At 38.2% G+C, this 15,728-nt stretch overlaps 1 protein-coding gene across 33 annotated transcripts in view; it reads left to right on the top strand.

The window, feature by feature from the left end:
• Positions 1-15,728, top strand: part of CENPK (centromere protein K) — a 67,545-nt gene that overhangs the window by 22,514 nt on the left and 29,303 nt on the right. For 27 of the 33 annotated variants that reach the window (XR_007058619.1, XR_007058618.1, XR_001742177.2 and 24 more), the window contains 3 exons: positions 11,456-11,538; positions 11,638-11,736; positions 12,077-12,203. Coding sequence is in view for 26 of the 33 variants with exons in the window: in XM_017009696.3 (XP_016865185.1) it covers positions 11,456-11,538; positions 11,638-11,736; positions 12,077-12,203 (309 nt within the window). In the remaining 7 variants the exon portion in view is untranslated. The remainder of the gene's footprint in view (positions 1-11,455; positions 11,539-11,637; positions 11,737-12,076; positions 12,204-15,728) is intronic. The other 6 variants (XR_007058617.1, XM_047417487.1, XM_011543538.3 and 3 more) reach the window with 1 other exon arrangement.

Raw genomic sequence — 15,728 nt, 5'->3', positions numbered from 1 at the left:
TTTATGGAAGCTTCATTATGTAGGTACGATTGATTAAGTCATTTGCCATTGATGACCAGCTTAACTCTCAGTTCTTCTCCCTTCCCAGAGTTTTCAGGGGTGGTGCTGAAAGTCCTAATGTTCTAGTCAGGTTTTGGTCTTTTTTTATGACCAGCCCCCATCCTGATGTTACTGAGGGGCTCCCAGCCATCAGTCAACTCATGCATATGAAAAGATACCACAATAGGGATAAAGACCAAATATATATTTTACAATATCACAATGTTATTGCACAGTGGAGTAAATATCATTCTTATTATAAAGAGGCAGAGAGCTGAATTGCATTCCTGCCCTAGTGTTTTGTGAAAGATAGAACTTATAGGAATGAAGTTGAATCTTTGAGGAAATATTTAAGAAAAGTATTGAAGGTATGGCTTGGCTTCTCTTGACTGTATAGTAAAATGTGGGAAGTTAAAAATGACTTAAATTGCTAATAAAAAATGAAGCTGAATTTAAATGTTTGAAAAATTGTCAGCCTATCCCTACTGTAAAGAATGAGAAAGGCTGTTTGGGAAAGAACTTAAAGGGTGTGGCCAAATGACCATCTGATAAGGAGATTAGTCAGCCATCTCAACTGAAGCCAGGTGCTGTTGTTCAAGACAATGGAAGAATGCAATGTAAGGGCTACAGGAGTCTGTGGGACCTTGGGCCATACTGCCTAGCATGAACTCATTCTCTGCTTCCTATACTTAGACTGTGTTCATCAGTTGCCCCAGGTGCAGCTTCAGTGTGTCTAGGTGTGGCAGAGACTGCAGTGATCACCCTTCTGGAGGGTCATATCTCCTCCAGGGTGCAGAAAGTGCAAGCCAGGGGAAATGGCTGGTTCCACCTGGGTTTTAAAGGAAGGAGCCTCCTGGCAGAGCCTTGAGCTTATGACCTCAGTCCAGGAGAGCCATGGTGCCCAGGCACAGCGATACTGTGAGTGAAGCACAGACAGAGAGCTGCTAGAGGGCCATTTTGCCAAGCTGTGGGAACAAGGATGCTCAGAGCTGTGGGTCCCCAAACACCTGCTCAGCAAAGCTGCAGGGGCAGAGCCACCTGCACCCTAGTGGGCCTTGAAGACAGCATTGAACCAAAGATTATTCTTGGGCCTTAAGATTTAATGTTTACCCTATTGTGTTGGGAGTTAATTGGGACATGTTACCCCTTCTTTCCTATTTCGTTCTTTTGGAATAGGAATGTCTATCCTATGTCGCTCCCACCATTGTATTTTTGAAGCCCATAACATGTTTGATTTCACAAGTTCACAGTTGGAGATCAATTTGCTTCAAAATCTATTGTACTGTGAATTTTATTCATTTAATTTAAATCATATTTAGATGAGATGTTAGACTTCAAACCTTTGAGTTGCTGGTAGAATAAGTTAAGACTTTTGTGGCTATTGGGATGGAATGAATGTATTTTTGCATGTGAGGAAGACCTGAATTTTCGAGTTTTAAATATGAATGTCCAGACAAGGATCATAGACACTTTCTCAAAACTTAAATGTCAATAATGTCATGTTTTTAAAGTGTCAGTTCATAAGGTTAAAATATAGAAGAGAAGATGGAAGCAAACAGAAACTTTTACAAGTTGTAGAGCATGGAAAGAGGTAAGTATGTGCCTAGAGACAGAAATCATGATGAAAAGAGTTTGCCCCCACAAAATTGAAGAAAGTCTTGGGATTTGAAGGAACCTGTTACTGCAAAACTCAGAGTTCAAGTGTGGAGCTAAAATCAAGGCTATTTCTTTAAAGTCAGAATATAGATGGTTAAATCTTCTTAGCTTACTGTTGCTAACTTCTTACCTATATATCTGAGAACCGGAAGTATATGATATGGAGACATTAAACTAGTGAGGCTCTTGACTCAGGGATACCAGGTTGGGTGGTTAATAGGGGTGGTGTGCAGGTCGAAAGTCAGAAAGATCAAGTTAACATTTTTATTCTGCATGGTGTACTGCTAGTTCCCTCCATCGCTCTGTCTGCAGAGGTCCCTAGTTTTTTATTTTATTTATGAAAAATAAAACTTACGAGGAATGAAGTTGAATCTTTCGCTGAGAAAATATTTAAACGAAGTGTTGAAGGTATGGCTTGGCTTCTCTTGAATGTATAGTAAAAGTGAGAAGAGAAAAATGACTTAAAGAAATTGCTAATCAAAAAAGAACATAGCCTTAGACAGGAGATAAAATATTTTGAAAAGAAAATATTTCTAAGTAATAATATATGGAGTCCCCAGTGAAAAAGTAGGGTGGCCACACATCATAAAGCCTTATTCATAAACATAGCATTCATAGTAAGTTTTTGAGTTTTAAATAGGAATGTCCAGACAAGGATCATACACATCTGTGAAATGTCTCCAAGTTGAAAGACAGAAGTTCAAAACAACTGAACAAAGATGAGCCTCAAGGAGAGACACTTCAGGGAACCAACGAGAATTTAAAGAAATAATACCATCCACAGGATAAGAAAAAATTTTGATCCCACAAAATAACAATGCCATTTTTTTTAAAAAGGACCACTTTACACCGTCTAGGATGGCTATAATCAACAGACAATAACATGGGTTGGTAAAGAAGTACAAAAATTGGAATAGCAATACATTGCTAGTGGCAATGTAAAATGGTATACTATTTTAGAAAGCAGTGTGGAAATTTCTCAAAAGGTAAAAGAGTAACTCTATGTCGCAGCAGTTTCATTCCTGGATATATACCCAGGAGGAATGAAAACATGTATGTATCCAAACGAAAAGTTACACATGAATGTTCATAGCATCATTTTTCTTACAGGCAAAAAGGGAAAACAACCTCAAATATCCATCAATTAATGAATGAATAAAATGCAATATATCCTAACAGTGACACATTATTGGACAATAAAAAGAAATGAAGTGGAGATACATGCTAAAATATGGATATACCTTGAAAACATGCTAAATGAAAAAAGCCCGCCACAAAAAACTGCTGTCTTAGTCTGTTTTCTTCTGCTATTGCAGAGCATCACAGACTGGATAATTTATTTTTAAAAAGTTTATTCACCGGCCGGGCGTGGTGGCTCACACCTGTAATTCTAGCACTTTGGGAAGCCAAGGTGGGCAGATCACGAGGTCAGGAGAGACCATCCTGGCTAGCACGGCGAAACCCCGTCTCTACTAAAATACAAAAAAATTAGCTGGGCGTGGTGGCGGGTTCCTGTAGTCCCACCTACTTGGGAGGCTGAGGCAGGAGAATGGCGTGAACCCGGGAGGAGGACCTTGCAGTGAGCCGAGATCGCCCTACTGGACTCCAGCCTGGATGACAGAGCGAGACTCCGTCTCAAAAAAAAACAAGTTTATTCACCTATAGCTGAGAAAGTTTATTTAAAAAGTTTGTTCATACATAGTTGTAGGGAGAATTGAGCACATCTATGCAACTCTACTAGGAAAGAACTCCTGTAAGCTTCTCCCATGTGCCTTTTTCTTTGTCTGTATTAATGTTTCCTCTCACTTTAACTCCAACAGAACAAAGTTCCAACTTTTTTTAACTGCAGAACTTAAAAAGATTGGGAATCTAAGAGCATGGTGCTGTTTTTGGTGAGGGAAGGCCATCTTACTGTATTATAGCACAGCAAAAGGATAGAAGGTGGAAGTGAATACAAGAGACAGGAAACGGCAGGGCTGAACTCCCATGACAACTAACCTATTCTGGCAATTATGGCATTAATCACTTCATGAGGGTGGAGCCCCCACGACCCAATTGCTTCCCAAAGACCCTACCTCTTAACACTGCCACAATGGCAACCAAGTTTCTATAGTCATGGAAATGTAAATAATGGGTCAGGAATGGGAAAAAAGGACAGTTGGAATAATAGAAGAAATAAAGCTAAAGTCGAATTATGAAATTTTACCATTATAAGTTGCAGAATATTAAAAAATCGAAGGCAAGAAATAATAAAATAAATAATACATGGACATTTTCTCAGAATAAAAGATAATTATTCTCCCCCCCAATCCCTACATATATATATATTTTTTCTTTGAAACAGGTTATTACTCTGTTGCCCCGGTTGGAGTGTAGTAAGATTATAGCTGTCTCATCTCAAACTGCTGGGGTCAAATGATCTTCCTGCCTTAGCTTCCCAAGTAGCTAGGAGTACAGGTGTGTGCCACCATGCCTGGCTAATTTTTTTATTTTTTATTTTTGGTTTTTTGTAGAGATGGGATCTCACTATGTTGTTAAGGCTGGTGTTGAATTCCTGGTCTCAAGCAGTCCTTCCACCTTGGCCTCCCAAAGTGCTGAGATTACAGGCGTGAGCCACTGTGCTTGGCTAAGATAACGATTCTTTACATTGAAAAAGATCCACCAAATTTCCAACACAATGAGTTTAGAATGACCCATGGCAGATGATCCAGCAAAATTTTTCCCTTTCATAGCAACTCTTAGCAACCCCAAACTAGCAACTGTAGCTTAGAGTGGCCAGAATCCAAACTTGATGCAGTGCCAGCATCTGTCCCAAAAACTTTCATTTTAGCTATTTTTCATTACAGTTAAAAATAAGAAGGGGATTGTATATTTAGCTTGTTTCTCATTTTACATTTTGTTGTATATTCAGTGAGCCAGCTCTACAGGAGCTGGTTCTATCATTGTATATTTTACTGGTAACTTCTACCTACAGTAACTTATCGCAGTGCAGCTGTTGTTTTATACCATCGGTGACTCAGTAACCATCTGACATCAAACTTTACCCGCCCTGTAATCCTTCCTTTTCTCAAACAGTGCTTTCCTTATGTTTCAGCTAGCAGGAGTTATAGGAAATCTCATTTGTAATGCTAGTTGTGTCAGAGTTTTCTCTAAGACTGCCCTCAGGTGCAATGATTTGTGGGATAGACTCACTGGACTCAGAAGAACTGCTGTTCTCTTGGTTGCAGCTTATTAAAGTGAGAGAGAACATTACAATGAACAAAGGAAAAGGCACATGGGATAAGCTTACAAGAGTTCTTTCCCAGTAGAGTTGTGTGGATGCGCTTAATTCTCCCTGCAACTATGTGTGACGTGGCGAGTTGGCAGCCAGAGAATCTCACTTGAGCCTTGTTTAGGGTTTTTATTGGGAGTCAGTCAGGTATTGTGTAACTGACCTTAACTATGTATACTCCATCCGCATAGAGTAAAAATGCATTTAACACAAATCACATAGTTAGCATAAACTCTCTAATCAAGCTGGTGCCATGTGACCCAAGGTTCTAGACATAGAAAAATGCTCATCAAGTAGAGTATTCCAAGGGCTCAGAGCTTTTTTTCAGGGAACTGACCAAGGGCAGTTCTGAAGACAGGCTTTAGTAATGTCCAAGGTTTTTGCAGTCTAGGTCTGCTGAGTTAACTCTTTCCTGCACAACTGTCTTTTCACCTCCCTCCCTCCCTCCCTTCCATCCTCGACAGGGTTTTGTTCTGTCACTCAGGCTGCACTGCAGTGGCATCATCTCAGTTCGTTGTAACCTTGACCTCAGGCTTAAGGGATTCTCCTACTTAAGGGATTCTCCTACTTCAGCCTCCTGAGTAGCTGGGACTATGGGTGTGCACCACCATGTCTGGCTAAGTTTTGTATTTTTTTGTAGAGATGGGATTTGCAATGTTGCCCAGGCTTGTATGCACTCCTGGGCTCAAGTGATCTGCCTGCTTCAGCCTCCCAAAGTGCTGGAACTACAGGCATGAGCCATGGTGCCCGACTTCTTTTCATTTTCTCTGTGGTGTTTTGGAGAACTTAAGTTCATAATTTGATTAACTCCATTTAATCAAGTTTTCTATTAAGGTCTGAGCTCAAATCTAAGAACTGTTTGCCCAACTCAGAATCACAAAGATATTCTCCTGTATTTTCTGTTAAAAGTTTTTAAGTTTTAGGTTTCAGTATTTAGGTTCATGATCCATTTTGAGTTAATGTTTATGTATATATAGTATGAGTTAGTGATATCGGGTCATTTGTTTTCATTTGGATACTGACTGTTCCAGCGGTATTTGTTGAAGAAACTATCTTTTCTTTTTTGAATTTCCTTTACACTTTTGTTGAAAATTAATGACCATGTATATGTGTATCTATTTCTGAACTCTGTTTTTCTCTATTCTGTGCTTTGGATATTTCTGTTTTTTTGTTCTGTGTTTCTGTCTTTAAGCCAATACCACATTATGTTTTTTACCAAAGCTTTAAAATAAGTCTTGAAATCAAGTATTATGAATTCTCTAACTTTGTTGTTCTTTTCAAAATTGTTTCATATTTCCATGTAACTTTTAGAATTGGTTTGTCATTCTGCCCCATAAAAAGCTGGAACTTTGATTGAAATTTCCCTGAATCATAGGTTAATTTGTGGAAGATTGCTATCTTTAACATACTTAGTCTGAATGCAGATCCATTAGCACTGTATCATCTTTGTATTTATTTAGGTCCCCATTTATTTGATATTTAAACATTTTGTCTCACCAGTGTTTTGTAGTTTTCAGCATACAGGTCTTGCACATCTTTTGTCAAGTTCATCCCTTTATTATTTCATAATTTTGACTATTAAATGGTATTCTTTTAAATTTCAATTTTTTTCTTTTTCCTTTTTTTTTTTTTTTTTTTGTTGAGACGGTGTCTCGCTCTGTCACCCAGGCTAGAGTGCAGTGGTGCCATCTGAGCTCACTGCAAGCTCCACCTCCCGGGTTCACGCCATTCTCCTGCCTCAGCCTCCCAGGTAGCTGGGACTACAGGCATCCGCCACTAGTGCGCCTGGCTAATTTTGTTTTGTATTTTTAGTAGAGATGGGGTTTCACCATTTTAGCCAGGATGGTCTCGATCTCCTGACCTCATGATCTGCCCACCTTGGCCTCCCAAAGTGATGGGATTTCAGGCTTGAGGCACTGCACCCGGCCTTAAATTTCAATTTTTATTTATTACTAATAAATACAAATACAATTAATATGTATATATTGATTTTGTATCCAGTGAACTTGAGAAACTTTTATTCTACATCCTTATTATCTGAGATCAAACACAGTTTTACATATCTTTTCCCTTCTGTATAATTTTTATCTCTTTTTGGGGGGTTATTTTGCTGTCCTAGAACTTGTACTTCAGTAAAATATTGAATAGAAACGGTAAGAATGGACATCTTTGCCTTGTTCCTGATGTTATCGGAAAGCATTTGCCCCTTCACCATTAAGTGTGATGTTAGCAGTAGGTTTTTCGTAGACACTTTTAAGCAGATTGCGGAAATTTTCTTCTGTTACAGTTTATGAAGTCTTATTTTATTTTGTTATTTTATTTATTTATTTATTTATTTTGATACAGGGTCTTACTCTGTCACCCAGGCTGGAGTGCAATGGCACGATCTCAGTTCACTGCAATCTCTGCCTCCTGGGTTCAAGCAATTCTCCTGCCTCAGCCTCCCAGTAGCTTGGATTACAGGCACCTGTCACCGCTTTGGGCTAATTTATGTATTTTTAGTAGAGACGGGGGTTTCACCATTTTGGCCAGGCTGGTCTTGAACTCTTAACCTCAGGTCCTCGGCCTCCCAAAGTGCTGAGATTACAGGCATGAGCCACCGCCCCTGGCCTAAGTCTTTTATTTTAAAATCACAAATTAATATTGAATTTTGTCACTTACTCTTCCTGAATTTATTGAGGTTATTAAATGTTTTTCTCCTTTTTTAAATCTATTGATATGGTGAATTACATTGATTGATTTTTAAAATTGATTTTTTTTTTTTTTTTTTTTTTTTTTGGAGATGGAGTTTCGCTCTTGTTGTCCAGGCTGGAGTGCAATGGCGTGATCTCAGCTCACTGCAATCTCCACCTCCTGGGTTCAAGCAATTCTCCTGCTTCAGCCTCCCAAGTAGCTGGGATTACAGGCATGCTCCACCATGCCTGGCTAATTTTGTATTTTTAGTAGAGACGGGGTTTCTCCATGTTGGTCAGGCTGGTCTCAAACTCCCTACCTCAGGTGATCTGCCCGCCTCAGCCTCCGAAAGTCCTGGGATTACAGGCAAGACCCACCACCGTCCCATCTCTACTAAAAATACAAAAATTGATTTTATCTGTCTGCTTAACTGCATATTCCTATGATAAACCCCACTTTGCCATACTATATTAATCTTTCTTATTTATTGCTGAATTTAAATTGCTGAAATTTTATGAGATTTTTGCTTCTGTGTTCATGAGGAATATTGGTCTGTGGTTTTCTTTTTTGTGATGTCTTTGTTAGGCTTTGATATAAGGTTAATACCAGCCTCAGAACAAATTAGGAAGTATTCTCTCCTCTTCAAAAGAGTTTGTATAGAATAGTAATTTTTTATTCCTGAAGTATTTGTTTGAAGTCACAGAAGAAACCATCTGGGCCTAAAATTTTCTCATAAACTGAATAAAAATTTAGAGATGAAAAAAATTTTCATCTGTGAAAATTTGTAATTACAAATTCTATTTCTCTGGAGCCAGTCATATTTCTTATTTGTCTAAATGAGCTTTGGTAGTTTATGTCTCTCAAAGAATTTATTCATCTGATTTGTCAAATTTAGTGACAAGATTGTCGATAACATTTCTCCATTATCATTTTAATGTTTGTAGTGATGTCACCTCTCTCATTCCTGATATTGGTGATTTATGTCCTTCTCTCCACCCCATAATTAATCTAATTTTATTGACCTTCTCAAAAAACCAATTTTCATTGCTTTTCCCTTATTTTTATTTTTTTATTTTGTACTGATTTAACTTCTTTGTTGTTATTATTATTTCCTCAACTTACTGTGGGTTTTATTTGCTCTTTTTCATATTTCTTATGATAGAAGCTGAGGTTATTAATTTGAGAGCTTTCTTTTCTTTTAAAATAGGCTTTTAGGCCGGGCGCAGTGGCTCACGCCTGTAATCCCAGCACTTTGGGAGGCTGAGGCGGGCAGATCACGAGGTCAGGAGATCGAGACCATCCTGGCCAACATGGTGAAACCCCATCTCTACTAAAAATACAAAAATTAGTTGGGTATGGTGGCATGCACCTGTAGTCCCAGCTACTCGGGAGGCTGAAGCAGGAGAATCACTTGAACCCGGGAGGCAGAGGTTGCAGTGAGCCGAGATAGTGCCACTGCACTCCAGCCTAACGACAGAGCGAGATTCCGTCTCAAAAAAAAAAAAAATAGATTTTTAGTGCTCTGAATTCTCATCTGATTACTGCTTTTGCTTCATCCCAGAAATCTTGATGTTGCATGTCAATTGTTTGGGGGATGAAAAAAAAAAAAAGACAAATTTTGATGTTAATGTTTTTATTTCTATTCAGTTATAATAATTTCCTATTTTCATATTGGTTGCTTCTTTGACCCATTGATTATTTAGATGTATGTTTTTGGTATCCAAATAGTTGCAAAGATTTCTACATACCTTTCTATTTTTCAATTTAATGCCATTGTTAGACCATATTTAATATAATCAATATGATTGCATTGAAAGCTATGTTATTGATTTATATTTTTCTGGGGGAGGGAGGGTTGGGAGCAGAGGATCTTGCTCCGTTGCCCAGGCTGGGTGCAGTGTTGATATCATAGCTCACTGCAGCCTTGAACTCCTGGCCTCAAACAACCCTTTCACCTTAGCCTCCTAAAGTGGTAGAATTACAGGAATGAGTCACCAGGCTTGGCCTTGATTTATCTTTCTTTTCATCCTGTTTTTCTGTTCCTGTTTTCTTCTTTTCCCACTTTCTTGGATTGTGTGTGTTGTTGTTGTTGTCTTTGTTGTTGTTGAGGCAGGGTCTTGCCTTGTTACCCAGGCTGGCATGCAGTGGTATGATCTCAGCTTACTGCAGCCTCCGCCTCCTGGCCTCAAGTGATCCTCCTGCCTCAGCCTTCCAAGTAGCTGGGACTACAGGCATGTGGCACCATGCCTGGCTAATTTTTGTATTTATTTATAGAGACAGGGTTTCACCATGTTGCCCAGGCTGGTCTCTAATTATCAGTATTGGCTTATTAGTTATTTATTTTCTTTGTTTTCATAGTTACTTTAGGGTTTGTAATATACATGTTTAACTTATCACTGATTTATATTTAGAAAAAGCTAATAGAAACCCTTGTGATCAGGAGAATGGAACACTAGTGCTTATTGTAATTCTCTTTAGTCTTCTTTGTTGTTCCTGAAATCCCTCAAGCATACTTCTGCCCCTTGGCCTTTGTACTTACTATTCCCTTTCCCTGGAACATTCTTTTGCTAGAGAGTAACATAATGTTTTCCTTTGTCTTCTTTCTCTGTTATTTAAATGTTACCTGATCAGAGAAGTCTTTCCATATCATACTACCTAAAACATCTATTTCTTGCTCTTCATACCTTTACTTTTATTTTGATTTTTTTTTTCTTTATGACACTTGACCATTGCTGGAGTAAACGTCTGGATTCCCCTCTTTGTTCTGTTCAGCTTTACATCTATCCCTCCTTCAGCAGTGCCTAATAGTCAATGATTGATCAACAAATTTGATTGAATAATTGATTGAATAAATATTGAATGAGTGAGTCATTTGTGTCCGTTTTGTACAGTCTCCTCAGTAAAGGTACCTGGGGCCGGGCGTGGTGGCTCACACCTGTAATCCTAGCACTTTGGGAGGCTGAGGCGGGTGGATCATGAAGTCAGGAGGTCTAGACCAGCCTGGCCAATATGGTGAAACCCCGTCTCTACTAAAAATACAAAAATTAGCTGGGCGTGGTGGCACGTGCCTGTATTCCCAGCTACTCGGGAGGCTGAGGCAGGAGAATCACTTGAACCCGGGAGGCAGAGGTTGCAGTGAGCCGAGTTCATGCCACTGCACTCCAGCCTGGGCGACAAAGCAAGACTCTGTCTCAAAAAATAAAAATAAAAAATAAAAGAAAAGGTACCTGGGCCGGGCACGGTGGCTCACGCCTGTAATCCCAGCACTTTGGGAGGCCGAGGCGGGTGGATCACAAGGTCAGGACATCGAGACCATCCTGGCTAACATGGTGAAACCCTATCTCTACTAAAAACACAAAAAATTAGCCTGGCATGGTGGCGGGCACCTGTAGTCCCAGCTACTCAGGGGCTGGGGCAGGAGAATGGCGTGAACCCGGGAGGCGGAGCTTGCAGTGAGCTGAGATGGCACCACTGCCCTCCAGCCTGGGTGACAGAGTGAGACTGTCTCAAAAAAAAAAAAGAAAGAAAGAAAAGGTACCTACTCTCTTATTACTGAAAACACACCATTATTTTGCCTTTCAATATGATATTAAAATTTACTGCTCAAAACCTCTTGTATTTTTTAATTTAACCATAGAATATTACCACAAATTTAGCGCCTACTGTATATTTACCTTTTCAAATGCTTTCTGCTAGGCTTTTTCACTACTGATGTCTGAATGGAAGTATCCTGGACCACTGTGTAAATTTGACTATCGTTCAGAAATAAAACTGGGATTAAAGACCAAGCAATTAATTTGAATTATTTTATTCTAGTTCCAAAAGCTGAGACAAGATCTTGAAATGGTACTGTCCACTAAGGAGTCAAAGAATGAAAAGTTAAAGGAAGACTTAGAAAGGTTTGTTTATGTTACAATTACTATTAATCATTCATATATATTAAGTGACATTTAAAGTTTTATTTAGATATTGCTTGTATTGTTTTTCCATGTCGAAAGGGAACAACGGTGGTTGGATGAACAGCAACAGATAATGGAATCTCTTAATGTACTACACAGTGAATTGAAAAATAAGGTTGAAACATTTTCTGAATCAAGGTATTAATTTTATGTTCTAGGTTTTTAAAATAGGAAAAGTATTTTATTTTTTGTGTTACATGAAACATAGATGAAGTTAAATGTTACCAGGAATCAGGAGTCTTGCCCTAACTTTTGTTAACTATTAGCTATTATATGATCTTTTATGGGTGACTTGACTTGACTGTACCTTTGGTTTCTCTACTTGTTATATAGACAATATGATTTTCAAAAAGGTAGTTATTTGGTTTGAGCAAATGAAGTTTTAACAAAGTTTTTGATCAACTTCATGAATAACTAGTTACATGTGTGTATGTGTTTTATCAGTTAAATGTTTCTCTTAATTTTTTTAATCTATTAGAATCTTTAATGAACTGAAAACTAAAATGCTTAATATAAAAGAATATAAGGAGAAACTCTTGAGTACCTTGGGCGAGTTTCTAGAAGACCATTTTCCTCTGCCTGATAGAAGTGTTAAAAAGAAAAAGGTAAGTTTTAGAGAAGACATTTATGTAAATTATCATATTTGAAATTATTTTAGGTGGGTTTAGAAGCATATTTTCTTATTTAGTTCAAAGGTATGCACATGTATGGAAATATGCCATTATCACATTATACTTATTGAAAGACTAGAAGCAACCTAATTATTCAATAAAATGGGATTAAGTATATGTATATTTTTGGGGGCAGGGGGGCGGGGGGACAGAGTCTCTCTCTGTCACCCAGGCTGTAGTTCAGTGGCGTGATCTCAGCTCACTTCAACCTCTGCCTCCTGGGTTCAAGTGATTCTTGTGCCTTAGCCTTCAGAGTAGCTGGGACTACAGGTGTGTGCCACCATGCCCAGCTGATTTTTTGTATTTGTAGTAGAGAGGGGATGTCACCAAGTTGCCCAGGCTGGTCTTGAACTCCTGAGCTCAGGCAATCTGCCCACCTCGGCCTCCCAAGTGGGACGATTAGATGCTAGGATTACAGGTGTGAGCCACTGCGCCCAGCCAGAGTATATTTCTTATGTTATATCCATATGATGGGAGTAAGTTAGCTTTTCATATAATGTATTGAACACCTTCAAAGAAGTTAATGAAATACAACTTATTGTTGAATGAATAAAACACTGATGATTAAATTGTTTGAATCTAATTTATGTTTAAAAATTGATAGTGCTTATGTCTGACAGCTAGGATTGTGGGTGGTTTTTTGCTTTTCACAATTTTTTCAATTTTCTGTGATGAGTATGTACAACTTTTTAAATCAAAAGAATGATGTTTAAAATTTGTTACAGATTAATGTAAGTTATTGACTATTTTAATAGTAGCTATAATGAAATAAACCTTTTCTGAAAAAGCAAATAAATATTTTATTGAGTGGCAGAAGATTGTGAACAGTTCATATATATATATATATATATATATATATATATATATATATATATATATATATATATGGTGTTAATAAGACTTTTGAAATTGCAGTAATCATTGAATAATAATATGTTTAATCATTTTCAGCATAAAATCTTTCATGTCTCCCTAGGGAATGAAGTCTGTAAACTCCTTAGAAATCTCTTCATTAGGATTTATACTATGGACTTCTATCTCTTCAGCCTCATCTCCAAGCATTCATCCATCTTTTACATGAATCCATTCAGCTATGTCACCAATTGACCTCTCACTTTTTTGTGCCTTATACATTCTATTTTTTCTGCCTAGGTTAAAACCCTTCCGATCTGGTGAGGGTAGCAGATTCCTACTTAAGACAGTTCAAGCATCTTTTGAGTGAAACATATTATGAAATTTAGGTGTTCTTTTATTGATTTATTTTTATTTTTTATTTATTTTTATTTTTGGGGACCGAGTTTTGCTCTGTCACCCAGGCTGGAGTGCAATGGCATGATCTCCGCTCACTGCAACCTCTGCCTCCCAGGTTCAAGTGATAGATTCTCCTGTCCCAGCCTCCTGAGTAGATGGGACTACAAACGCGTGCCACCGCACCCAGTTAATTTTTTTGTATTTCTAGTAGACAGGGTTTCACCGTGTTGGCCAGGCTGGTCTCGAACTCCTGACCTCAGTTGATCCGCCCACCTCAGCCTCCCAAAGTGCTGGGATTACAGGTGTGAACCACCACACCTGACCTATTGATTGAGTTTTTTAGAGACGAGGTCTTGCTATGTTGCCCAGGTTAGACTTGAACTCCTGGGTTGAAGCTATCCTCCCGCCTCAGCCTCCACACAGCTGGGACTACAGATGTGAGCTACTGAATCTGGCTCTAGGTGTCCTTTTAGTAACACTTTTCAAATGATTTTGTTAGTGTTATTTATGTCTATCTCTCCCTTTATCCCCATGCCCTGTGAGCTACTCGGTGTGTTTAATTCATCTTTGTATCTCTTCTATCTTGCATATCTTTTATATAGAACCTTCTCAGTTCATATTTATTGAATGGATGTGAATATACTAGGAAAAGGAGAAAAAGTTCTGTTTGTTTTTGTTTTTACTATCTGTGTTCTTTTTATTCTTCCCTTATTTATAATTGTCTATAGGCTTTACATTTGTTATGGGCTGTGTCTTCCATTCTATTATTGTTTTTTACCTCTTATTTATTTGTAAAAGTATGACAGCCTCCTGTTGGCCATTTCATTAAAGTCATGATTCCTTGCCTCTTTATGACCTTAATCTTGCAACAACTCACTGATTTATTTTCTGGTCCCAGTCTCCTCCATTTTTTTCAAATTTTTTTCAACATTTTTTTGTTGCTGTTGCTCCACTAATAGAACCAGAGGTTTGAGGCATCCTGAAAAGGAAGCTTGATTACCATGAGCCATTATCGGGTCATTAAGTCAGATTTGATAACCTCACTTCTTTTTTTATGATGTATAAGGACTATTGATACATGTTACAAAGTAATTCTTGTCTCTCTGTTTCTTTCTCTGTGTGTTTCTTTCTCTCTCCCCAACAATACTGTATTTATTAGTCTACTTGGGCTGTGATAACAAAATACCACAGACTGGGTGGTTTAAACAAAAGTTTCACAGTGTAGAGGCTAGAAGTTCAAGACGAAAGGAAGGTACTGTCGGGTTGGTTTCTGGTCTCTCTTCCTGGCTTGTAGGTGACCACTTGCTCACTGTGTTCTCACATTGGGCTCTTTGTGTACACAAGGAAAGAAAGAATTCTCAAGTGTCTTTTCCTCTTTTTATGAGGAAACCATTCATATTGGATTAGGGCCCGATTCTTATGACCTCGTTTATCCTTTATTACGTTATTTAAGACTTTATTTTTAAAAACATAGTCACATTAGGGCTTCCACATATAAATTTTGGGGAGACATCGTTCAGTCCACAACACTGGACTTTATAACTCAAAGATGTATACAAAGAAGAAAGCTAAAAACAACAAAACTCCCTCCATCAGATCATTACCATTAAGTGAACATCACAATTAATGTTAGGTGAATGTCATTTGAGACATCTTGCTAAGCACATATACATATAGAACCATAAATAGATGGATTGATGGATGGCTGGATCAATGTAATTTTGTAAATGCTAATAATAAAATAAATGTAATTTTACTTTTTTTTTTTTGAGATGGAATCTTGTTCTGTTACCCAGGCTGGAGTACAGTAGCTGAGATTTCAGCTCACTATAACCTCCACCTCCTGGGTTCAAGTGATTCTCCTGCCTCAGCCTCCTGAGTAGCTGGGATTACATGTGCGCACTGCTATGCTGGCTAAGTTTTCTATCTTTGTTTTTTAGTAGAGATGGAATTTTACCATATTGGCCAGGCTGGTCTCGATCTCCTGACCTCAGGTGATCCACCCACCTCAGCCTCCCAAAGTGCTGGGATTACAGGTGTGCACCACTATGCCTGGCCTAATTTTACTTAATTTTGAGAGAAGAAAAAGAATGAGTGAAGTTGAACAGTTGAACTCGGATAAATATTTCTTTGCATCAAATGATTTTAGTTCTGGAGAGATCCTTTCAATATAAAGGAAACAAGTGAATCATGAAAAACATGGAAAAT

This window comes from Homo sapiens, chromosome 5 (genome assembly GCF_000001405.40).
Source record: "Homo sapiens chromosome 5, GRCh38.p14 Primary Assembly".
NCBI classification, from domain to species: domain Eukaryota; kingdom Metazoa; phylum Chordata; class Mammalia; order Primates; family Hominidae; genus Homo; species Homo sapiens.
The sequence above is the reverse complement of the archived record's forward strand: the minus strand, read 5'-3'. Positions and strand labels throughout refer to the sequence as shown.